This window comes from Homo sapiens, chromosome 20, assembly GCF_000001405.40.
Source record: "Homo sapiens chromosome 20, GRCh38.p14 Primary Assembly".
Taxonomy (NCBI): domain Eukaryota; kingdom Metazoa; phylum Chordata; class Mammalia; order Primates; family Hominidae; genus Homo; species Homo sapiens.
The window spans coordinates 13557262-13585078 of NC_000020.11; the positions used below are offsets into that span (position 1 = coordinate 13557262).

The 27817-nt window shown below is 35.5% G+C and overlaps 1 protein-coding gene across 23 annotated transcripts in view; it reads right to left on the bottom strand.

The window, feature by feature from the left end:
- The window catches only part of TASP1 (taspase 1), a 534161-nt gene that overhangs the window by 452490 nt on the left and 53854 nt on the right, over positions 1 to 27817 (bottom strand). For 16 of the 23 annotated variants that reach the window (XR_001754319.3, XR_007067463.1, XM_047440269.1 and 13 more), the window contains 3 exons: positions 23636 to 23720; positions 12246 to 12325; positions 1747 to 1853 (listed from right to left, as the gene is read on the bottom strand). The exons of 2 other annotated variants lie outside the window; for them this stretch is intronic. Coding sequence is in view for 15 of the 21 variants with exons in the window: in XM_047440269.1 (XP_047296225.1) it covers positions 1747 to 1853; positions 12246 to 12325; positions 23636 to 23720 (272 nt within the window). In the remaining 6 variants the exon portion in view is untranslated. The remainder of the gene's footprint in view (positions 1 to 1746; positions 1854 to 12245; positions 12326 to 23635; positions 23721 to 27817) is intronic. 5 more of the 23 variants (NR_136628.2, NR_136631.2, NR_136629.2 and 2 more) reach the window with 3 other exon arrangements.

Genomic DNA, 27817 nt, shown 5'->3' on the forward strand with positions numbered 1-27817 from the left:
TATTAATCAGTAATAAAAAAGAATAAATCGGTGATACAATGTCTAATAAAAGCTTTCTGTGAAAGAAGCCAAACAGAAAAGAGTACATTCTGTATGATTCCATTTATATAACGTTCAGAGCAAGAAAAAGCATTTACTGTAATAAAAATCAGGACAGTGGCTGCCTTTAAGTTGGAGACTAACTGGAAAGCAGCATGAAAGAACTGGAAATATTCTATATCTTGATAGGTGTATGGTTTACATGGGCATATATGTTTATAAAAACTGATTAAATCATTTACTCTATGCAAATTTTATTACGATGTTTTTGGTTTTTTTTTTTTTTTTTTTTTTTTTTGAGACAGGGTCTCACTCCATCACCCAGGCTAGAGCACAGTGACATGATCACGGCTCACTGCAGCCTTGACACCCCAGACTCAGGTGATTCTCCTACCTCAGCCTCCCGAGTAGCTGAGAGTACAGGTATGCACCACCATATCCAGCTAAATTTTTGTACAGATGGGGTTTTCCTTGTTGCCCATGATGGTCTCAACTCCTGAGCTCTAGTAATCCACCCACCTCAGCCTCCCAAAGTACTGTGATTTACAGGCATGAGCCACTGCACCTGGCCTATCATGAATTTTTAAAAAGGCAAAAAAGTCCTAAATTCATTCACCCACACATCACATCCGATGCAGAAACCCAAGAAATAGACTATCCACCATCATATCAAGATCTACTTATTAATTTGTTCATCTGCCTTCTAAATTCTTATCCTTTGCCGGCAGAAAATTAAAAAGGTTTGTACCAAACTGATTATCTCGTGGCAACACACCAAGAAAATATCTATCACTACAAAAGATGATGTATTGTGCATTCATACATAGGTAAACCATATAAAACTATGACACAAAGGACAAAACAGTATCTAAGCCATTACAGAAGAACTAAACAATAAAGAATATTGATGAATGCTAAGGTACATCACATGACTATGTGACCTGGGACACCCATCATGAGCTGTATGCTAAGAAACCCCTAAGCCACAGGCTGAGCAAGAATGTTGTAGTTTTCAATTTCTTTCTATCCCTAAAAACGCCTGAATACAATATGTATATTTTCTTATACTTACACTCTACTCCCTAAACAGTCATGTTAAGAATCACTATCAGGAGCTGTAAGAACCAAAACAGTAGCCACGAGCCAAATGTAGCTATTCAGAAATTAAAATGAGTCAAGGACAAATGGAAAGCTGAATTTTTAATTTTATAAAATTTTAATTTTCTAATATATTAAACTATTAGGAAGATTTAAGTATACCTGTAATAACTTGGTATGTAAATTTACTATTTCACAGTAAATTTTTATGAAATATAAATACAGATCAAATATATCTAATAAAAATTTAGTGTTATAATTGAGATGTGGAAAACTCAAACTGGTTCTGAAGACTTAATACTAAAAACGATAATGTAAAATAGCTCATTAATAATTTTTCCCTGATCATATTTCAAAGTTATATTTTAGATCCACTGGTTTAAATAAAATATATTAAAATTAATTTCCCTTGTTTCTTTCTACTTTCTTTTTCTCTTTTATGAGCCTAATATTATGAACATATTTTTAATGTAGCTACTGAAAAACTTTAAAGTACATATGTGACACACATTCTATTTCTACTGAATTGTATCGTCCTAAAGCTTGTATCTAAATGCAGAAGATATATCATCTGATACATTAATTTGAATATTTCAAACACCACCTGACCTTCTCACTTGATTGTCTTCTTTTCTTTAGTTGCATAAAATCTGTGTCCACCCTTTCTGCCAGCTCTAGTTTCCTCTTGTTTCTTTTAAATGCAGCTAAACTGAATCCTATAAAATAAAAATAAAAAACATTAAATATAACATTTAAGAAATATTAGGGCAATGGGTCAAATAAGATATCTGAAGAGCCTTCCCAGAAGAAAATCCTTCAGTATGTTAAATTAAGGGTTTAAAAAGTCTTTTCAATGTATACAGGGATAGTAGGAGAATAAGAGAAATAAATTAAGATTTTAAAATTAAGAAAATGGTCCAACCCAGAGAAACAAAGGAGTCCTGAAGGCAGATACTACCCTCAGGGCATCTGTTGATGCAAGCCTCCTCCAACTGTCGTTTTAAAGGTCTCTGCGCAAAGGAGGTAAGAGACGAAACTTGGGCACAATGCAGTATGAGAAAACACACTGGAGATTATCCACAAAGAAAGGAGAAAGTCTCAATGGTTGATATTCCCAGTGAATGGGCAAATGAGAAAAAAGCCACCAGGCACCAAAAAATAATAAAAAGTAAATAAAACATTTTTTAAACCAGAAAACTTGCAAATCTCAGCTTTGGTTCTAGATGTAAAGAGGAAACATCTCCCTAGAAATTTCAGGACTAATGCGGGCATTTAGATAGACCTCGAGTAGAATTCTTATTACCTGTGAGATCCCAGGGTAAAAAAGTGATCAACAGTGCTTCAAAGGGCCTCCAAACACAAATGCAAATACTCCCCAGAAAAACAAACTGGCCTTAACTTACCCAGACCTCAAAGAACTCCCATGTTTCAATCAACATGTGCTCATAGTTTTAAAAGGAAAATTCATAAAACACATAAGAGATAAACTACCAAGAATAAAAGCCAGCCGAATATCAGAAAGCATAACCTGACCTGCAAAAATCTCAGATACTGGAATAATCAGATACAGAATATAACACACGTTTATGCTCAGAGAAAGAAAAGAAAGACATCAAAAACAGGATTAAGCAGCAAGATGATAAACTGACTAGGCTGAATTGAAGAACAAATAGAGCTTCAATCAATCAATAAAATAATCAAAATTTTAAAACTTGATATACAAATTTTAACAGCCAATTAGATCCAGCTGATAAGAGAAATTACAAACTGGAACATAACACTGACAAAGTTATTGAAGTTTTCTGATAATGGCAGACTAAGTTATTCAGAGTAATTATCCACAGAATATTCCTAAAAACATTGGGTAAAATATTTAAAATACCACCTTAAAAGCATTCAAAACCTTACAAGCACTAAGCTAAATTCTTGGGTAAACTGAGGACTAAAGGTATTATTGCACTGTGAACATTTGCCAACACTAGCACACTTGCATTCGACTAAATGGCATCAAGGAGAGGGATACGTCAAGCCCAAAGCCCATTAAGAGTACAGAGTTTTATAGGAGACATTCCCCACAATAAACTGGGAATTTAAAGGGCTAATTCTCTTAGAGTAAAGCTAATCCATAACTGAGTCCATTACTCCCTCTATCTCAAAAGCAAATGCATGCAGGCAATATTGTCCCAGATTACAGCAGAGCATGAGACCGACAGAAGGTGGGGGGAAAAAACAGGGAGAAGGTAGAGAAAAAGAAAGAACAAAGTATTCGAAAGAGGTGGGGAAAGAAAACTATCTCTGAGAAACTTTTGGTCTCATGGGGCCCTTGCATAGATTTACAAATATACACACTGTACAGTCCCAGAAGGAAAAGAAAGAGAGAAAGAGAAGATGGTTACTTGAAGAAATAATAGCTGAAAACTTGCCAAATTTGATGAAAGATATGAACACCCAAGATATAAACACCCAAGAAGCTCAAGGAACTCCAAGTAGGAAAACTGAGAGATCCATACCAAGGCACATTATAATCAAATTGTCAAAGGCCAAAGACAAAGAGAGAATCTTGAAAAGCAGATTATCACCTACTAGGGATCCCCAATAATATTATAAGCAGATTTCTCATCAGAAACTTTGGAAGCCAGAAACAGTGGGTTGATATATTCAAAGTGCTGAAACAACAAAAGCATCAACCAAGAACCCTGGAAGTGGCCAAACGATCCTTCAAAAATGAGGGGCAAATTAAAATACTCTCAGGTAAACAAAAACTGAGATAGTTCATTTTTACTGGACCTACCCTGCAAGAAATGCTGAAGGAAATCCTTCCGGTTAAAATGAAAGAACCTTAGACAGAACTCAAACCTGTAAATAAATAATGATCTCTGATAAAGATAAGTACATGGACAACTGTAAAAGCTAGTCTTACTGTAATTTTGGTTTCTAACTATGCTTTTTGTTTTCCACGTGATTTTATTTTATTTATTTATTTTTGAGACAGAGTCTCCCTCTGTCGCCCAAGCTGGAGTACAGTGGCACAATCTGGACTCACTACAACCCCTGCCTCCCAGGTTCAAGCAATTCACTTGCCTCGGCCTCCCAAGTAGCGGGGATTACAGGCACGTGCCACCACGCCTGGCTAATTTTTTGTATTTTTAGTAAAGACAGGGTTTCACCATGTCGGCCAGACTCGTCTCAAACTCCTGAGCTCAGGTGATTCGCCCGCATCAGCCTCCCAAAGTGCTGGAATTACAGGTATGAGCCACCATGCCTAGCTTATTTTCTACATGATTTAAGAAATTAAAGCATTAAAACACTATCAGTCTGTTTTGAGACAGACAATGGGAAAAGATACAATTTTGCAAAAGAGGGTTGAGACAGAGCTGTATAAGAACAGAATTTTTATTTGTTATTGAAGTTAAGCTGGTCTAAATTCAAATTAGAGTGTTATAATTTTAGAATGTTAAATGTAATCCCCATTGTAACCACAAAAAAAAATAGCAAGACAATATACACAAAAGAAAATGAAAAGAGAACACAATAAACCAAGTAGATCTAAAAGATATAAACAGAACACTATATTCGACAACAGAATTCACATTCTTCTCAAGTTCACTTGGGACATTTTTCCAAAATGTCCCATTTGTGTGTGAGCACAAATCAAATCTCAATAGATTGTAAAAGATAGGTATTGTACAATGTATCTTCTCCAACTACAACAGGATGGAGTTAGAAATCAATGGTAGAAGAAAACTGGAAAATGCACAAATTGTGAAAACTAAAATACAGAAAGAAATCACAAAGGAATCAGAAAATCCTCAGATAAGAATAAAAATTAATACACCAAAACTTACAAAGTACATCAAAAGCCTTATGAAGGGAAAATTTTATGGCTATAAACACATTAAAAAATAAGAAAGATTTCAAACAACAACCTAGCTTTAAAACTTAAGGGACTAGTAAAAGAAGAATTAAACCCAAAGCTAGCAGAACAAGGGAAATAAAGATCAGAGTGGAGATAAATAAAATAGATAATACCAAAAAAATAGAGAAAAACAAATAAAACCAAAAGTTAGTTCATGGAAAACATTAACAAAATTTAAATCTTTAGCTAGATTAACTAAGAAAAAAAAAGACAAATTACTATAATCAGAAATCAAAGTGGGGACATTACTACTGATTCTTCAAAAATAAAAAGTATTATAGGCCAGGCACAGTGGCTCATGCCTGTAATCCCAGCACTTTGGGAAACCAATGTGGGTGAATCACTTGAATACAGGAGTTCGAGACCAGCCTGGGCAACATGGTGAAACCCTGTCTCTATAAAAAATACAAAAATTAGCCAGGCATGGTGGCATGCACCTGTAGTCCCAGCTACTCCAGCAGCTGAGATGGGAGAATCATCTTAGTCTGGGCAGTCAAGGTTGCAGTGAGCCATGTTTGCGCCACTGCACTCCAGCCTGGTCAAGAGCAAGACCTTGTCTCAAAAAAAAAAAAAAAATTATATCTCTATATACATATATATATGTGTGTGTGTGTGTGTGTGTGTGTGTGTGTGTTGTGTATGTGTATACGTGCGTATGTATGTGTGTGTATATACACATATATACACACACATAGGTGTATATATACACACACATACATACGCACGTATACACATACACAACACACACACACATATATATGTATATAGAGATATAATTTTTTTGAGACAATGTATATATGCATATATATGTACACACACATATAAATAAGAGAGTTCTATGAAAAATTGTGTACCCAAATATTGAATGGCCTAAATGAAATTAACAAAGTCCAATAACACAAAACCTACAAGACTGCATCATGAAGAAATAGAAAATTTAAATTAACCAATAACTAGTAAGGAGATTGAATCAATAATCCAAACTCTCCCGGCAAAAAAAAAATTCCCAGACTTCATGACTTCACTGGAGCATTCTACCAAACATTTAAACAACAAACACCAAAAACATTAACGAAGAGGAAACGCTTCCAAAGTCATTCTATGAGGCCAGCACTATCCTAATACCAAAACCATACAAAGACACCATAAGAAAGCTATCAACCAATACCCCTTATGAACGTTGATGCAAAATTCCTCAACAAAATACTGCCAAACCAAATGCAGCAGCATATTAAAAGGATAATACACTATGACAAAGTGCAATTTATTCCTAAGAAGCAAAGGTCGTTCAACATATGAAAATCAATGTTATACACCAACATTAACAGGATGAAGGGAAAAAGCCATATGATCTTTTTTTTTTTTTTTTTAACAGAGACAGGGCCTCACTATGTTGCCCAGGCTGGTCTTGAACTTCTGGCCTCAAGTGATCCTCCCGCCTCAGCCTCCCAAAGTGCTGGGATTATAGGCAAGAGCCACTCCACCCAGCATGATCATAAATTGATGCACAAATAATCATGTTATAAAATTCAAAATTCTTTCATAGTAAAAACACCAAACCAGAAATAGAAAGAAACTACTTCAACATAAAAAGGCAAAATATGAAAAGCCCACAACTAACATCATATCTATGGTGAAAGACTGAAAGCTTTTCCCCTAAAATCAGAAACATGACAAGGATATGTACTTTTACCACTTCTAGTACTAGAAGTCCAAACCTAATATTAGAAGTACTAGAACTAGAAGTCCTAGAAGTACTGGAAGTCCTAGCCAAGGCAATTAGGCAAGGAAAAGAGGTAAAAGGCATTCAAATTGGAAAGGAGGAAATTATACTTGATCTTATACTTGGAACATCCTAAAGATCTCCAACCCCGTCCCCCAACACAAACACACAAACCCACTAGAACTAATAAATTCAGCAAAGTTGTATGATACAAAATCAACACTCAAAAATCAGTTGCATTTCTATAAATTAACAATGAACAATTTAAAAAGAAATTAAGAAAGCAATCCCATTTACAATAGCATCGAAAAGTATAAAATGCTTAGAAAAAAACTAAAATCAAGGAGGCAAAATACTTGTATGCTGAAAACTACAAAACATTGCTGAAAGAAATTAAAGACGTTAATAATGAAAAGACACCCAGGTTCATGAATTGGAAGCTTTAATATTGTTAAGATGTCAGTACTACTAAAAGCAATCTACAGATTCAGTGTAATCCCTAACAAAATCCCAATAGTGTTTTTTTTTTTTTAAGAAATAGAAATATCAATCCTAAAATTCATGTACAATCTAAAGGGACCCTAAATAATCAAAACAATCTTGGAAACAAAAAAAAAGTTGGAAGTCTCACTTCCTAATTTCAAAACTTACTGCAAAGCTACAGCAATCAAAACAGTATGGAGGCTGGGCGTGGTGGCTCACACCTGTAATCCCAGCACTTTGGAGGCCGAGGCAGGCAAATCATTTGAAGTCAGGAGTTCAAAACCAGCCTGGCCAGCATGGTGAAACCTCATCTCTACTAAAAATACAAAAAAAAAATTAGCCGGGTGTGGTGGTGGGCACTTGTAATCCCAACTACACAGGAGGCTGTGGCAGGAGAATTGTTTGAGCCCGGGAAGCGGAGGTTGCAGTGAGCAGAGGATCGCACCATTGCACTCCAGCCTGGGCAACAGAGTAAGACTCCATCTCAAAAAAAAAAAAAAAAAAATATGGAAATGGCATAAAGGCCATTACACAGAAAAATGCAATAGATTAAAGAGTTCAAAAATAAACTCTCACATATATGGTCAACGATTTGACGAGGGTACTAGCACCATTCAATAGGGAAACAACAGTCTTCAACAAACTGTGTTTGAAAGATTAGACAACCACATGCAAAGGAATGTAGTTAGACCCCCACTTTATACCATATAAAAAAATTAATTCAAAATGGATCAAAGACCTAAGTGTAAGAGCTAAAACTATAAATCTCTTAGAAAACAACATAGGGGAAAGGTTGGATATAACACCAAAACACAGACAATAAAAGAAAAAAATAGATAAAAATTTAAAAGACACAATGGAGTGAAAGACACAATCAATGGAGTGAAAAGGCAACTCGTGGAATGGGATAAGATATTTGCAAGTCATATCGGATAAGTGTTAACATCCAGAACATATGAAGAATTCCTATATCTCAACAAGAAAAACCCTGATTGAAAAATAGGCAAAGGACTAGGATATATATTTCTCTAAGAAAGATATAAAAATGGCCAATAAGCACATAAAAAGACACTTTAACAGCATAATCATTATGGAAATGCAAATCAAAATCACAATGAAATACCAACTCACAGCCATTAGGATGCCAACTATTTTTTAAAAAGTAAAGGAAAGAACAAGTATTGGTAAGGGTATGGAGAAACTGGAACCCTGGTGCACTGTTGATAGAACATGAAATGGTGCAGCCACTATGGAAAACAGACAATATGGTGGCTTCTCAGAAAATAAAAATAGAATAACCATGTGATCCAGCAATTCCATTTCGGGGTACCCAAAAAAAATGGACAGCAGGGACTCAAACAGATATTTGCATAGCCATGTTCACAGTAGCATTATGCATGACAACCAAAAGGTAGTGTAACCCACGTATTCATCAGTGGATGAGTAGATAAACAAAATGTGGTATATACATACAATGAAACACTATTCAGCCTTAAAAAGAAATTCTGACACATGCTACAACATGGATGAACCTTGAAGAAGTCATGCTAAGTGAAATAAGCCAATTACAAAAGGACAAGTACTCTATGATTCCACTTATAAAAGCAGAATTCATAGAGACAAAAATGAACTAGCCAGGGACTAAATGGAAGGCACATGGGGAGTTACTGCTTAATGGGTACAGCTTTGGTGTTACGAGATGAAGAGGGTTCTATAGTTGATGGTACTGTTAGTTCCATAACAATAAGAAAATATTTAAAGCTACTGAACTATACCATTAAAAATATTTAAGATGGTAAATTTTATGTTATGTGTATTTTACCATAATTTTAAAAAGAACTACAAAAAAAGTACAAGAATGTTTACAGAAGCTTTATTCATAATAGCCAAAAATTGGAAACAACCCAGACATAAATGGGTAAATGGCTAAACAGTAGTAGTACCTCCATACCATGAATACTCAGGAATGAAAAAAAAACAAGCTATTGATAAACACAACCTGGATGTTATCTCCAGAGAGTTATAGTGAGGAAGGAAAAAAAAAAAAGCAAATACCAAAAGGTTACAGTCTGTATGATACCATTTATATTACATTCTTGAAATGACAAAATTATACAAATGTAAAATATATTAGTGGCTATCGGGGTTAAGGTGGGAAAGAAGATAACATCACTGATTATTAGAGAACTGCAAATCAAAACCACAATGAGATACTATCTCACACCAGTCAGAATGGCTATTATTAAAAAGTCAAAAGATAAGACACTGGTGAGGTTGCGGAGAAAAAGTGCTTACACACTGCTGGTGGAAGTGTAAATTAGTTCAGCCATTGTGGAAAGCAGTGTGGTAATTCATCAAAGAGCTAAAAACAGAACTACCATTTGACCTAGCAACCCCGTTACTGAGTATATACCCAAAGGAATACAAGTTGTTCTGTCATAAAGACACATGCATGCATCTGTTCACTGCAGCACTATTCACAACAGCAAATACATGGAATCAACCTAAATGCCCATCAATGGTAGACTGGATAAAGAAAATATGGTACATATACACCATGGAATACTATGCAGCCATAAAAAAGAGTAAGATCATGTCTTTAGCACGAGCATGGATGGAGATGGCCATTATCCTTAGCAAACTAACACAGGAACAAAAAATACCGCATGCTCTCACTTATAAGTGGGAGCCAAATGATGGAAACACATGGACACACAGAGAGGAACAAAAGACAGTGGAGCCTAACTGAGGGTGAAGGGTGGGAGGGGGGAAAAGGATCAGGAAAAATAACTAAAGGGCACTTAGCTTAATACCTGGGTGACTAAATAGTCTGTACAACAAACCCCTGTGACATGAGTTTACCTATATAACAAACCTGTACATGTGCCCCTAAAATTAAAAGTGTTTAAAAAATAGGTATTCGGAAAATAAAATACAGAAAATGTGAAGGAAGAAATTATCCCAAAATTTTCTTTTAATTTCTCCAAATCTGAAGCATATAAATGTCCAGACTTAATGTGCAAAATGAGCACTCAACATAAAGAATTAAAAAAAAAATGCCCCAAGATGCTTCATTGTGATCATCAAAACATGGGAATTAAGAGCTTCCTTCCAAAGAGAAAAAAATACACCACAATATTTGTGAGTCTTGCATAATAATAGCAAGACTGGAAACCAGATGATAAGAGAACAATTTCCTCAAAAACCTAAGGGAAACTGATTTTCAGTCTCGTATGTACTGAATAAGGAATAAAACAAGGAAGAAAAACACATGAGATCCAGGAAACAGAGAACCTGATACTGGAGAGAGGCGAAGGAGATCACAAGGTGAAGCAAGGCACAGTCCAGGATGGCAGCCACACAGCAGACCTAGTAAGACTCGAGACTGGAAGGGGCCAGGTGGCCTGTCTCCAAGGGAAAAAAAGGGAACTGACAGATGACCTAATTTGTTTGCCTGATATAAGGACTGTAAAATAAGTTCCATTGGAAAGACTGTAAGACATAATTAGTGACAGGGATCATGGGAATTTAAAACTCTCATATTTCAGCCCTACTGCTACACACACATTTCTCTTCCCTCTAGCCTCCCTATATTACAACTTTCAGCATTACATGAATATTCATTCTGAATATAATTTTTTTTTAGACACAAGGTCTCGCTCTGTCACACAAACTGGAATACAGTGGTGCAATCATAGCCCACTGCAGCCTCAAACTCCTAAGCTCAAAGGATTCTCCTGCCTCAACCTCCCAAGTAGCTGAGAGTACAGGAGTGCACGACCACACCTGGCTAATTATACCCTATTTAACTAAGTTGGTTTCCTTGGAGTTAATCCTCACTTTTTCATTTGATTATTTAAATTATATTCACAGATTTCAGTGATAAAAATAAAATTTTTATTTAAAAAATAGTGTTTTTAATATTTCTTTCTCATTTTATGCAAATATTTTTAAACAGACATATACACAAACATATACATATTTATAACTTCATTTTTCACTCTTTTAAAGTCATTAGATTCAATCATTATCAGAGATTAGTCTTCATAACAATTTCTAGTTACTTCATAACATTTCATTATAAGAATATATGATCATTTATTTACTCATATTCCTGTGTTGGGTATAAGATTTTTTTCAAAATTTTGTATATTCTTAATAATGCTCACTTGAGCACCCTTCTACATAAATCTTTGTCTATCTCCAGTGACAGGTTCCCAGAAGCAGAACAAGGCTTTTAAAGCTTTTTATCTGTACTACTTAGTTGTCCTCTAAAATCTCTGCCAATTCACATTTATACTTACAATGTACTATGATTATTTAACCAAACACTTACCAGGAGTAATATGTTTTAAATCTTTCAAAAGTTAAAAGGGAACAAATTTAACATGTACTCATTTTAATTTGAATTTGCCTGTCAGTTATGTTATATTATCTACTTAGGACTTTTGATCATTTTTATATTGGGCAATTACTTGTATTTGTGTTGTTTTTAATTTGGTAAATTTCTTCATAGATTAAGGATATTTATCCCTTTGTCATATTTGTGATAACTGTTTTTCAGTTTAACTCTATGTAGTCACACCTTTGTTTTTCCTTCCCTTGCATTTGTATCTAAAAAGTCCTTCCCTCAGCTCAAGGACTGTTAAATATTGACCTATATTTTCTTCTCTCTCTCTCTCTCCATCTCTCTCTCTCATTGAAGGGTGGTATTAATGCTTTATTAGTAGTAATTATTTTAAGTAATCTCTAAAAGGGATCTTTTAGTAATACTTTTATAAAAGCATAAGGAAGCAGTGAGAAGACCTCAGGAATACAAAGGTGGTTTAAAATGAAATAACTTTCTACGTAGCTTTTAACTACAAATCTTTCAACATATAAGTATTCTTCCATAAATATCTGTACTACATGGGTCATAACAGAAGCAATATTATACTTTAGGTATATATGCTCATATAGCTTAATTTTTTTTAAGTTTTTACTCACTTGTGGTCATGATGTTAGGAGGGCAAGAGGGTATTCCATGATCTACTGCCCATCTGTAGGCTCCTTCTCCAACTAAAAAGCTAACAACAGAAAAATTATTTTTAAAATTCACAGTGTCATCTTCTCCTACATATTCAATAAATATAGGTAATATGGTAAGGCAGTTGAGAAAAAGTCTTGCATATGGACATAATTCCAGATTTACCTCAAAGTAGTAAGATGACTGCATGCTAAAAAATTCCTGAAAATTTTTCTCCAAATTAGAAATTTTACAATTGGAATGTTACAATACCATTTGCAATAACTAACTAGTAAAAATTGGCAAACTCAAACATAATAAGATGTAAAAATGGTTGACTTCTCAGTAGAAAACATTAAGATTTATCTTGGACCAACAGGGTTCTCAGTTAATGTCACAAGATTGGTTACTCAAATTAACAGTTTACAATTAAGTGAATGCCTTCAGATTTGGCATTATTACCTAGCAGAATACCTGGATCCATCCAAAATTAGTGGGTACATCTGGAGATGCCCAAATATATATGCTTACATTTCTAAGCCCTGATGCAACGAAAATACATACATAACCTTCAGAATCACTTTTACTGTGGTAAGTACTATGGTATGTCCCAAAAGTAACTTTTAAGTCCTAAATAGCAAGTTTTAATATAACAAAGTGGATAAAAGGATATTGCTAGCTAAATATAAAAGACTTGTTTTCAAAGATTTCAAATAGCATGTAGGATAATTACCCCATTCCCTAAGTAATTTGACTAAGCAAATAGTAATAGCAAGCAGTTACCATAATAATTAATCACTCCATCTTCTTCCATAGCCAACTTCTTAAAGATCTCAGCCAGCTAGTAATGGATTCCTTGAACTTGTGCCTACTTGCTAGTTTTCCACTCCCTATTTTTTTGTTTCTGTTATTTTAATCATTCCAACATTAAAAACTCGAAGTAACACATATTGAAGTCTTAAGATTTGACTGCTAATAAGACCAGTGACAGACTGGCAAAACAAAATCTAAGTAGACCCTCAGAAACATATCCAAATGGTTCCAATGGGAAACCAAATGGTTAATCTCAATAACTGCTTTCTAATATACATAAAGATGGGGATGGAGGGACTATTTTAAATAGAGAGGAGAGAAGGCCAATGAGAATAAACAACTTTACCTCTTCAAAATTCTACTTTAAAAAAAAAATTCTAAAGGATTCTAAGAATAGAAAACAGTTTTTCCTATTCTTGTACGAAATGAAATCCTCTCCAAAGAAAAGCCGTCACATAAACTTCAAATGTTAAGATGACTGAAATAGGAGCTTGGACGCAAATTTGAACTGTCCTGATGGCATTTTTAGCATTTCCTTCTTCTAGGAAAAAAAAACTGATAAAAGAAATAATTCTGTTCATGAGAAGATGTAAAAGAGAAGTTGAAGTAGTAAACTACATGATCAAGACAAAAGTTTGGAGTTAATCTAATATTCTCAGCACTCCCATTGGTCACTTTGGGTTCAATTCCAGTATCTGGAATCAGTGAGGGGCATTTTACAAAATATTCTTAGCTTTATTTTATATATTTTTTAATCATTCGAAGGTTTGATTCTAAGTAAAATCAATTTGCTATTGTCAACTATTTAAGTTTTTAAATACTTCGGGCACTGTAAAATATTCATAGGAAGGCAAATAGTTGGATGTCATCTTATGGATAAGGATACTAACTATCTACCCTTTCCTCAACATAAAAAAGTATTGTATAGTAGGTCATCATCACACAAAATATCATATAATTGCTTTTGAAATCATTTTAGCAGAAGCTTTTACTAAAAACTATACTGACATGTCAAAAAAATCACATTTCTAAACATTGAATGCAGCACCGATTCAAATTTCTCTCAAGCATTCTTCTGATTCTCCGAGGAGGAAACTTTTAGAAAAGGTTCACGCCAATCTACTTCAAAGTCCCATTGACTCTACCTTTATAACATATCTGGAATCTGACCACTTCTCACCACCTCCACTGCTACCACCTTGGTCTGAGCCACCATCATCTGATACCTACAATGCTGCAGTGGCCCCACTATTTTTATGCTTGCCTTGCCCTGTATTCCCTGACCTCAGTCAATTCTCAATACACCAGCCACTAAAATCCTTGTAAAATACAAGTCAGGTAATGGCACTCCTCTTTCAAAATCCTGTAAAACCTCTTGTGAGGACCAGTGTAAAAACTAGGGTCTTTTTAAAAATCTACAAGCTCCCATGGAATCTGATCCTTACCGCTCCCCAGTTCATCTCTTATTGCTCTTACCTCCTTGTGTACTCTACTCATTGTCGTGTAAAGCCACAAACATACCAAGGAGGCTCCAGCCTCAGGGTCTTCACCCTGAATGTTCCCTCTGTCTGGCTCTTTCCCTATTTCCCAAATGGGAAATTCCTTCACATGCTCAAATATCCCTCCTTCATGAGGCTTCCTTAAAAATGCATCCCACTACCCTGCACTCCTCTACCCAGTACTCACAATCTCCTTATCCTGCTCCTTTTACCTTCTTCCACCTTCTAACATATTACATAATTGATAATTTACACATTGTATCTGTTAGTTTATTTCTGTATAAAGTCCTTAAAAGCTTCGAGCTTCATAAGGGTGGAGATCTTCGTTTCTTCATCAACATATCTCAAGCATTTAGAACAGTGCCTAAAGCATACTAAACATTAAATAAAAATTGTCAAGATATTAAACAAAATAATAGAGTGTCAAACTTCTCTAGATTAAAGGACAGCATTTTCCTTGTGTTATACCCATCTTCGTTTACATTAAAGCAGATCTAAATGGTTACAAAACAAAAAGCAACACTCTACTGAAACCACCACGGAGGTGAGGTAATTAAAACTCTCAGCTGGACGCAGTGGCTCACACCTGCAATCCCAACACTTTGGGAGGCCGAGGCAAGTGGATCACTTGAGGTCAGGAGTTTGAGACCAGCCTGGCCAACATGGTGAAACCCTGTCTTTACCAAAACTATAAAAAAATATGCCGGGTGTGATGGCACGCACCTGTAATCCCAGCTACTCGGGAGGCTGAGGCAGGAGAACCGCTTGAACTCGGGAGGTGGAGGTTGCAGTGAGCCAAGATCGTGCCACTGCACTCCAGTCTAGGTGACAGAGTGAGACTCCATCTCAAAAAAAAAAAAAAAAAAAACTCTCAAGAACTGAGCTGCAAGTGCTGACAGAGAAAACACCCTGAAACGGACTATCTGGGCAAATACGGTGATAGGAATTACAATCTCATGGATGTACTCATGTGAATTACAATCTCGTGGATGTTCTCATGGATGCGAACCTCCCATTTTCAAAGAATCATGACTATAATCAGTCTAAAATGTGTAATTTAGTGGTTCAGAAAGCGCTCAAGGATCTTCAGGAACCCCCGTAATCAAAATACATTGTTTTCAAAGAGAAAGATATGGGAGAACATAACTAATTCTCTGGACTCAAGAACTGATTTCCATTTTATCTATGACTTCTTTACTCTTCATAAATACAAAAAACTGAAGAAAGATAACTTCGGTTATTGATTATTTAAAGCTTATCAACACATAAAATGCAAATAAAGAAAAACTTGCTATACTTGGAAATAACACATAACAACCAAATTATAACTGTTCTCTTTTGGACTCTGTTTTAATTTTTTTATTATTGAAATGTTCTAACATATACAACTGTGTTCCCCCAAAATTCATAGTTTGAAACCTCACCCCCAAGGTATTGGGATTGCATTAGGAGGTGGGGCCTTTTGGGAGGTGATTAGGTCATGAGGGTGAAGCCCTCTTGAATGGGATTAGCCCTCTTGAATGCCCCCTTTAATGGGACACTGAATCCCCCAGCTCCTTGATCTTGAACTTCCCAGCCTTCAGGACTGTGAGAAACTTGTATTGTTTATAAGCTAACTAGTTTATGATATTAAGGTGTTTTGTTATAGTAGAAACTCTCTAGAGTTCACTGTCTAAATGTAATATAGTTTTAAAAAATTCCCTGAGTACCCTAAATCAACATAACCAAATTTATCATGTTTTTACTTTGAGCTTATTTACATGTGATCCAAATATTTCTAGTCATCTAATTTCTATTATAATCTAGAAAGTGAACTTCCAGGTATGTGAGAGATTTTTCACTTCTGGACAAGATGGAGTAACAGGGAACAAAGTTACCCTCTTATTTGAAGTGGTGAAAAAAACAAAAGACAAAATATAGAAAATAACAGTTTTCAGACGTTAAGACATTAGGCATAGGACAGTAATCCTTGAGAGAAAGGAAAACAAGGTAAACCTTGTGACTGCCTTACTGCAATCATAGAGTTCACCTTCATTACTGCCTAGAGAGTTTCTAAACCACAGCACAGCAGCTCCAGCAATATCTCTGAGTTGAAGTGACATAGTCGGGCATCCAGAGAGGCCATGTAGCCAGAGTTCACAATACCAGAGAGGAGAAAGCTGCATATAGAGAGTACGCTAGAGATCTGCAGAGAGTATCCCTCTAAGCTTCAGCTAAGTAGAGATCAGTGAATGTGTAAGAAGAAATTACCCAAAGCACTGGAACAAATGAAATGAAAGTTTAAAAAAAAAAAAAGAAACAAAGTCCCCAAGTTCAGACAGCCAGGAACAACAGCTCCTGCTCCCACCAGCCAAAGTAAAGGCCTCATTCTAGGTGCATCTGTTATAATACTTTGAAAGATTCTACCTCAATAGCAAGGCAAAATTAGCTCAAGGCCAAATGCTTTTCGTCTCATGTAAGTTTAAAGCGAGACCTGAAAGGCTCAAGCTGTTTTTAAGTAACTTAGCCACATCCTAGAATAAAATGTAAGAATAGTTTTTAAAATACAAAAATACACAGCACCCAAAAAGGTAAAACTCACAATGTCTGAAACCCAATAAAAATTACCAAGTATGCAAAATAGGAAGAAAGGTAACCTATTATGAGGTGAAAAATCATTCAATCGAAAACAATCCATAAATAACAAAGATAACAGAATTAGCAAACAAAGATATTTAAATAGTTGTTATAACACTATTCATATGTTCAGGAAGCTAGAGGAAAGTTTAACCATGTTAAGTAGATACATGGAAGACATTTTTTAAAGATGCAAATCAAACTTGTAGAGATAAAAATAACAATACATAAAGAAATAAAACACAAGCTGAATGGGATTAGCAGGTAATTAGACATTAAGTGATTAGACAGAAAAATAATTAGTAAACTTGAAGATAGCAATAGAAACTATTCAAAATGAAACAAAGAGAGAAAAAACAATGAAAAAAGTAAACAAATCATGAGTGATCTGTAAACTACTACAAGAGGCTGAAATTACATGTAATCAGAATTCTGAATAGAAGAGACAGGGATTCAGAAAAAAATATCTGAAAAGATAATGAGGAATTTTTTTCCCAAAGTTGATGAAATATATATCCCCACACATCCAAAAAGCAAAAGGAACCCAAACCAAAGTTATTACAAGAAAACTATAAACCAGTATCACTCATAAACATATATGTAAAAATTCTTTACCAAATATTAGCAAACTGAAGCCAACAATATATAAAAAGGATAATATATTATGACCAAGTAGAATTTATCCCAGGAATGCAAGTGCTGCTTTGTCAGTCAAAAATCAAAGAATCACTAAATTAGCTAACTAAATTTTTTAAATTATAAGATCATCTCAATAGATGCAGCAAAGCATTTGACAAAGTACAATACCTATTCCTACTAAAGTTCTCAGCACACTAAGTGATATGGTTTGGCTGTGTCCCCACCCAAATCTTATATTGAATTGTAGCTCCCATAATACCCATGTGTCATGGGAGGGACCCAGTGGGATATAACTGAATCATGGGAGCAGGTTTTTCCCGTGCTGTTCTTGTGAGTAAATCTCATGAGCTTTGACAGTTTTATAAAGGGTAGTTCCTCTGCACACGTTGTCTTGCCTGCCATCATGTAATGTAAGAGGGACTTTTGCTCCTCCTTCACCTTTTGCCATGATTGTGAGGCTTCGCCAGCCATGTCGAACTGTGAGTCCATTAAACCTCTTTTTTTAATAAATTACCCAGTCCTGGGTATTAGTTCATAGCAGTATAAAAATGAGGTAATACATTAGGAAAAGAAAGGAACTTTCTCAATATGATCAAGAGCATCTGTGATTAACCTACAGCAATCATCTTACTTAATGGTGAAAGACCAAATGCTTCTTCCTTAATATCACAAAGAAGGGAATGATGTCCACTCTCACACTTCTCTACCATATACCGCATTGGAGGTTCCAGACAATGCAATAAAGCATGAAAAAAATTAGTTAAAAGAATCCAGGTTAGAAATAGAAATAAAACTATATTCATTCCCAGGAGACATAATATTTATGTAAAAAATCTTAGCTGGGCACGGTGGCTCACATCTGTAATCCCAGCACTGTGGGAGGCTGAGGTGGGCGGATCACCTGTGGTCAGGTGTTCGAGATCAGCCTGGCCAACCCCTCCTCTACTAAAAATACAAAAATTAGCAGGGCATGGTGGTGCATGCCTGTAATCCTAGCTACTCAGGAGGCTGAGGCAGGAGAATCGCTTGAACCTAGGAAGCAGAGACTGCAGCGAGCCGAGATCATGCCATTGCACTCCAGCCTGGGCAACAGAGCAAGATTCCGAGACAGAAGGGGGAGGGGAGGGGAGGGGAGGGGAGGGGAGCGGAGGGAAGGGAAGATAAGAGAAGAGAAAGGAAGGGAAGAGAAGAGAAAGGAAGGGAAGGAGAGAGAGAGAGAGAGAAAGAAAGAAAAGAGAAAGAAAGAAAGGAAGAAAGAAAGAAAGAAAGAAAGAAAGAAAGAAAGAAAGAAAGAAAGAAAGAAAGTCAGTCTTATGGAATCTATAAAAATGGGACTAAAACAAATGGATTTACCAAATTCCCATGATAGAATGTCAATATGTTAAAATCAATCACATTTCTATATACTGACAATGAACAGTTGGAAATTAACATGCTTAATTTCCATTTACCACAGCATCAAAAAAAAGTGAAGTACCAGGTATAAATATAATAAAAGCTGTGCAAGATCTATACACTGGAAACTATAAAACAGTTGGGAGCGTTTAAAAATCTTAATAAATGCATATATTAGAATCACAATCAAAATTCTGGCAGGCTATTTACAGAAATGGAAAAACAAATTCTAAAATTCATATGAAAATGTTAAATACCTATAATATCAGAACAATCAAACATAAAGTTGAAAACTATGTTTGTGAGAAAACCAGCTAGTTCCAGACAAGTGTAGCATTATTATATAATTTTAATAAAGACGCAGCCATCACTTTCTCCCATATGTTTTCTCTTTGTAAAATATTAAAATATTGCATATGTCCCCTTTGACAATTGCCTCATCTTACTCCCTCTTCCCCTGAGGTAATCACAGTGGCTTTAGTAACCTACTTTACAAGTCATTTTTGTACATCTATGCACATATTTATGTAGCCAAAGAAAATTAGAGTATTGTATATGCTGTAATAATATGAAAGAATACGTGGCAATGAGAAAATCAGGGTTATTGTTACCTAGGGGTAGGGCAGAGATGGGGGTCACGGTGAGCATGGGGGACAGTAGAAGGAACAAGGAGTACATGTTAAATCTCTTCTAACTTTGGAAAGATTTTTTAAATGTTATATTACTCCTGGTAAGTGTTTTGTTGAATGATCATAAGACGTTGTAGGTAGAAATGTAAATTGGCAGAGTTTAGTCTAGGCAGCTCCAAATCTTTTGGTGGTGTTTTATTTCCTATCCTAGATGGCAGAAAACAGGTATGCATCACATTGTTTTGTAATCTTTTTAAGAAAACAGAAGTTAAAATGAACACATCATCAGCAACTTGATTTTTTTACCCTACAATGTGAGGTCTATTTCTGTGCACTGAATTGTGTCCACCCAAAAATTCATTTGTTGAAACCCTAGCCCTCAGTGTGATAATATTTGGAGATGGGGCCTTTGGGAAATAATGAGAGTTGGATAAAATGAGGGTAGGGCCCTCATGATGTTATTAGTGTCTTTATAAGAAAGAAATTTTTCTCTCTCTCAACAACCCCTTCCCTACACCCCTATCTCTAGTGTAAGGACACAGTGAGAAGGCAAGCCAGAAAAGGAACGCTCACCAGAAACCAAACAGGCGGGAACCTAGATCTTGGACCGCTTAACTTCCAGAACTGTGAGAAATACTTTTCTACTGTTTGAGCCACTGAATCTAAGGTATTTTGTTAAGGCAGCCCAAGTAAATTAATTCTAACACTAAGCCATGTTACTATACACAAATGTTTCTCTCCTTTTTTCTAATGCCACAGGGTATCTAATAATATAACTAGAAAACAGTTTATTTAGCCATTGATGGATATTTAGGTAGCTTACATTTTTATATTCTACAAGCAACAATGCTATAGCCTTCATGTGCTGTACAAGCCTTCTCATGAAGGCATTTTGTCTCAGGATAGAAATGCTGGAGCATACAGTGTCCCTTTTCAATTTGTACTTAATAAATAATACCAAAATGTCTCTCAACTGGCTGTTTATGTTCCCATCAACAGCAGAAGAATCTATTTTTCTGCACCCTGAATAATACTGCACATTGTTGGTTTTTGTTAATTTTGCTACTTGAAAATAGTGAAAATATCATCTTTTTTTTTTTTACTAACAATTCCTTGATTAATATTATTGGGCACCTTTTAATGTATTTATATCTCATTAATATTTTCTTTCCCATAAATTGCCTATTTGTATCCTTTACTGATTTTTAAAATTTGGGTTGTCTTTTTCTTATTGATATTTTATAGTTCATAAATACTCTGGATAATCTTTTGTTTGCTACATATCCTGCAAATAATTTTTCTCAGTTCCAAAGGACATACTGTCTTTTAATTCTGATCGTAGTATCTTCACTTGTATAATAGGTATACATCTTCACTTGTCATATGTTTCAATACTTAGCTTTATTTTTTATCTTAATATATTTTTTGCTGCCTCATAGTCATAAGAATACTCTCCCATATTTTTTCCTAATATTTTTATACTACACTTTTTTACTTTTGGGTTTGGGCTTTTTCTTAGTGATGTGACATCGGAATTTAATGTTCTTGCACTAGGTAGTCAATTGCCCCAACACAATTTATTTAATACATCATTCTTTTTCCCCACAGTGATTTGAGATGACACTGTTATCATAGACCAAATTCCCTCATGCACTGAGTCAGCTTCTAGACTTGCAGTTCTTACTGATCTTTTTATCCATATCTACATCAACCTGTGTTAATTACTATAGTATTATATAACAGTATCATGCTATCCATTAAGTACATCCAACTCTTTCATCTGTTTTACAACTGTCTTGACTATTCTTGTACACTTGTTCCTCCATATAAATTTGAGAATCTGCTTGGTAAATGCCATGAGGAGTGGGGTCAATGGGATTATGGTAGATTCGTAGGTGAACTTCAAAATACTTTTTACATGGTTTATGCTATTTTTCTTGCCAACCAAACAACTACATCTTTTTCTCCCTACTGGGTACATATCTTCTAAATTGTTTAGTTCATGTTAATTAGGTTTTACACACAATAGGAAATATTGGGTGAAAGAACACAGTCATGTTTAAATGCACATTACAGAGAATATAAATCCAGAGACAATCTCTTTGCACTTATTACTCCCTTAAAAAGGTATGGCTAGAAGGACTCCGCATGCACCTACTGAACAAACACTTAGTAAATTATGGATTGGTAATCTCATACCAGTTAAACAAAATAGCATGGGTTTAATATAAATCATTAGAGAAGCAAGTGTAAGATTTTTTTTTTTTTTTGAGACGGAGTCTCGCTCTGTTGGCCAGGCTAGAGTGAAGTGGCGCGATCTCAGCTCACTGCAAGCTCCGCCTCCTGGGTTCACACCATTCTCCTGCCTCAACCTCTAGCTGGGACTACAGGTGCCCGCCACCATACCCGGCTAATTTTTTGTACTTTTAGTAGAGACGGGGTTTCACCGTGGTCTCGATCTCCTGATCTCGTGATCTGCCCGCCTCAGCCTCCCAAAGTGCTGGGGTTACAAGGGTGAGCCACCGCGCCCGGCTTTTCTCACTTTCAGAGTTATCAGGAAACTTACTGAAATCCATCCAACACATATTAGAAAGGATCTCAATAAATCAGATTTGCTTTCCCTTACCACTGCTTTATCAAAAACACATAATATTAAAAATTGATATTTGAGATTTTTTTCATAATTGACTCTCTAGTGCCATAATTAAACTGGGACATATATAATTAAAATCTGAAATCTATCTGGGTAAAGGATTTAAGATTTTTCTAAACTATATTAATTTATTTTCTGTGACTTCAAAACACAGTAGAATCAAAGTGATTCCTACAGCACTGTCACCACAACTTTGAACACAGAACATTAATGTAACCTCCACAACCAGGCATGCTGAGCATAGACTAAGTGTGACAAGGTATTAAAGCATAAAGTTTTAATATTGTTAGGCATGCTAACAGTACGGTGGCTATGTTGTGCAAACACAGAATTACTTACAAAACTATTTAAGGGTAAACTACAATGTCAGGGATTTGCTTTAAAATACTATAGGGGCCAGGCACAGCGGCTCATGCCTGTTAATCCCAGCTCTCTGGGAGGCCAAGGCAGGAGGATTGCTTGAGTCCAGGAGTTTGAGATGAGCCTGGGCAGCATAACAAGACCCCATCTCTACAAAAAATAAAAATAATGTCCAGGAACGGTGGCACATGCATGTAGTCCCAGCTACTCAGGAGGCTGAGGCAGGAGGATCTCTTGAGCCCAGGAGGTCAAGGCTGCAGTGAGCCATGACTGTGCCACTGCACTCCAGCCTGGGTGACAGAGTGAGACCCTGTCTCAAAAATAAAATAAAACAAAATAAAAATAAACAAAAACAAAAAACCCTATAGGAAAAAAACTGAGATGCATGAAACAGATGAAGTACAAAACACTGGTAATTGGAGCTGTATCACAGGTTTATAAGGGCTATTTACTATGTTCCATGTACTTTTATTCTAAGAACTTCTCAAAATTAAAAATTACTTTAGACTCTGGACTACAATGTGTAAGTTTTTTTTAAGTTTCATAATAAAATGAGCCCAGTTGAACACTGATCCCCTTTCTGCTTTAATCCATAATATTCTTTTCTATCCAAAACTTTATTAGCTGTACAAAATGTTCCAAGATCACGGAACAAAGTTTGTCTTCTTCGCAAAGGCATGCTACCTGGTATGTAACCAACAGCATCAGCCTTCTGTGGATAAAAATGCACTAAAGACAGGGAAAGTCAGGAAGAACAAAGTGGTTACCAGGGAGGAATTCTGCCAGCCGAGAGCTTGCCCTTCTGCCCTTCACATAAGAGTCTGTTGGCAACCGAGACTGGGTTCTTGATTCCTATAAAAAAAAAAAAAAAATTGGCAAAAAAGATGTCAGAAATGTCTTCTAGTTTCCCACTCAGTTTTGCAGTTGTTTCAATAAAACAACTTGAATATATCTTGGAAATTCTTTTTCGATATATCAAATAATACTAATGAAAACCCTTAATAACCATGAGCAATAAGAGTTAAATCAAAAAATGTATGAAAACCTAGAAGAAAAGAACGAATATAAAATACATATTCTCATGTTTTGTCACGTGCTATAGAAGCAAAGGCTGAATTGAAATACTACATATTTAAATTAGGTTCCTTTTTAATAGATTTCAGAATAGAGTTTTTAAAATGAACTGAAAATATGGTACTATCTTACTATCAAAACTATATACATGCTCCAGGCATTTAGTGACCACAAAACCATAAATTCCTTTTAAAGAGTAAACATGATTATAAACAGCTTCAAATTGACCTTGGAGAGAAAAATTAATGGGGGAAAAATAAGCCAAAAATTTTAAATGTCACCTACAAGAGAGACAGAACGGGGAAATGTCCTTCAAATTGGGTAAGGGTGGGAGAAGAGGCCAACTGTGTAAAAGATTGTAACCTAAAATGTGGTTCAGATTCTTTCCAAGAGGCTAACCAGTATGTACAAGTGAGGTGATAGTGCTTATCCAGGAGAACTGACAGGACAGTTTTGAGTGTGATAAACACTGTCAGGATGACAATGACAAAGACAATGACACTGATGACGACAATGATGATGATGGTGGAAGGCAATCAAAGTAACTATTTCCTAATGTGCTCCAGGCCCAGTGCCAAATTCTTAAATCTATCGGATGAGTTAGCTGATCCTTCAATTCTGTCATGTAACCACACTTATTAATCCTATCTGATTAATGAGAAAACATTTATACAGAGGGTTAAGTTGCCTGCCCATGATCACAGCGCTGAGTTTTAACATGGAGGCAGCCAATATCGGAGACCATACCCTTCATCACTAATATACGCCTGCCTTTCAGGAAATGATTAATACAAACAAATCATCAGTGGAATATATAAAGAGACTACAAAAATTTAAATTAAGGCCAACAGACTCCAAGAAAAACCAATTGTAGAAATGTAGCTCAATACCAAATCTTCCACAAAAAAAGTATGAAATACAAAAAAAAAAAAAAAGAAAAGCCCAAATCAGATCCCTTTACTAGTTCTTAAAACAATATAGTTCTAGATGTGATGATTCAATATTGTAAAGACATTCATCTTTTCCAAGTTAACTTATAAATCCAAATCTTTACTCCAACTTATAAATCCAATTTATAACTTTATATTGTTTACAAATTAACAATTTATGTTATAAATGTATAACTTATAACTTATAAATTTATAACTTATAACTTATAAATTGGATTTATAAGTTATAAGTTACAACTTATACATTTATAACACAACTTATAAATCCAATTTATAACTTATAAATCCAATTCTCCATCAAAACTTCAAAATGATTTCCAGGATACATAAGAAGCTGACTCTTAATCAGAAAAATAAAACTTTGAAAAAGAAAAATGAAGAGTTATTTACCCTGCAAGATATCATTTTTTTATTTGAAGCTATTCTAATTAAAAAACAGTGGTTTGAGTACAAAATAAAGAAATGTCAATGAAATAGAATAAAGCTAAAGTTCAGAAACAAACACTTTTGAATTTAGGTATTTAATATTTCAAATCAGTAGGAAAAGGATAAACTACATATAAGAGGGAGAAAGAACACAAAGGTAAAAGCCTAGGAGTCAGACTACTTTGTAACTGTTCCAGTTAACCGGTTTATTGCTTCTCAGCTACAAATTCACCCTTTATTGCCTGATGTGTGAAAATGGATATGGGCCCTCTAAGTACGTTTCCTTTGCCAGCTAGCACAATAGGTAAGCTTTGTCAGTAGAGGACACTAAAGAAACACTGTAGGAGGAAAGTGTTGTCTTGCGCACCAGGCTTCACTTCTGACCAATGTGGTACTCTCCTGTACTAAGTGCCCACAGGGAGCAGCTTTCTCCAGCATTTGAACACCACGTTTTCTCCAGCTCCTGATTTGTGCCACAGCAGCATAGCTGAGAGCTCCAGAAAGAATGAGACCATACTCCAATTCAGGTCATTGATACCCACACCCACTCCTCAGCCCCATAGGCACACATAGCAAGTGTTCCACGGGGTGCCTGCGTAGTGAGCCAAAGCCCAATCTTTATCCTGCCCAAGGGAGGTTTAATTCTCACAGCATCTTGACCTCTGTGTGCCCACCTACCAGCCTGAGCTTGCCTCTGCCTCACAGGATTGATCCTACTCACACAATGACTGTAGACCAGCTCTGGCCTGGGTAACCCAGCAACTTCTCTGCCATACAGTGAATGATAGCCACACCTTCTTCAATGACGTCTAAACGTACTTCCAAACGTGTTCTTCTTTGGGTATTCTCTCTCTGCCCTAGGATACATTTTTGAGTTCTCGTCCCATGTTTATAGAGTTACTCTTCAATCACTGCTTAATAACTCTTTATATTAAACTTCTATTTAAACTATGGTATGGTTTCTGTCTTCTAGTTTTACCCAGACTAATACAATGTCCTTGGACAAACTACTAAATCTCTCTTGTGTCTCAGTTTCCTCATCTGTAAAGCATAGACCTCATGAGCGTATTGTGAGAATTAAATGATTTAAAAGCATAGACCTCAAAATGGTATTACATAGGATAAAAGCATAGGCCTCATAACGGTATTACATAGGATAAAAGCATAGGCCTCATAAGGGTATCGTGAGAACTAAATGATTTAAAATATGTAAACCACTGGGCTGGATGCGGTGGCTCACGCCTGTAATCTCAGCACTTTAGGAGGCTGGTGGGTGGATCACCTGAGGTTAGGAGTTCAAGACCAGCTTGGCCAGCATGGTGAAACCCGTCTCTACTAAAAATATAAAAATTAGCCAGGCGTGGTGGCACACACCTGTTATCCCAGTTACTCAGGAGGCTGAGGCAGGAGAATCACTTGAACCCAAGAGGCAGAGGTTGCAGTGAGCCAAGATCGCACCACTGCACTCCAACCTCGGCCAACACCCAGAGCTAGACTCCATCTCAAAAATAAATAAATAAATAAATATGTAAACCACTGTAGAACAATGCCTACGGTATTACTGTCATTTAACAAACTGTACTTATTGTTATTCAATTAACTATGTAGGAACAATTTGAAGTCATTTCAGAAAAAAATGCATTCAAGAGGTAAATGAAAAATAAACTATACATATGTTAGAAGAAAATACAAGTAAATTGTGCTTATAAATTATGAGAGACTTTAAGAAATACAAAATACAAAAGCCACAAAAGAGAAAGTAGTAAGTTTGACAAACAAAAATGTTTAATTCCAATATGATTAAGGACATTTATAAACAGGGTTAAAACGCAAGCCACACAAGAGGTATGAACAGGTAGTACACAGAGAAATGCTAATGGCCTTCAAACACACGAAATTTTATTAAATACCAATAAAACTGCATAATAAGAGAAACTAAAATTAAAACTAATTAAAAAGAAAGGATATAAAAGATCAGAACAAATAAATAACCAAATTGACCTAAGTGACACACACAGAGCACTGTACTCAACAACTCCAGAATACATATTCTTTTGAAGTTCACGTGGAAATTTACCAAAACACACCATAATCTGGGCCATACAGCAAGTCTCTAAAAGCTTCAAGGGATTGGTATCATACATAGTATATTCTCTGGCCACAGTGGAATTAAACTAGAAATCAACAAAGAAAGCTAACTAAAATGTCTTCAGGCAAATAAATTTGACAACTCATATGAAATAGACAAATTCCTAGAAAAACGCACATGAAAAATAAAATATAATCATATAAATGTTAAAAATATTGAATCCTACTTTTTAAAACTTCCCACAAAGAAAACCCCGTTAATTTGAAATAATTTATGAATTCCTTCAAACAATTAAAAAGTAATTATTCCAATCATATACAAACCTTTTCAAAGAATGGGGGAAAAAAAAGTACCCAACTCATTTTTGAAAGCAGCCATAACAGGGTACAGAAACAAATTATCACACAGTC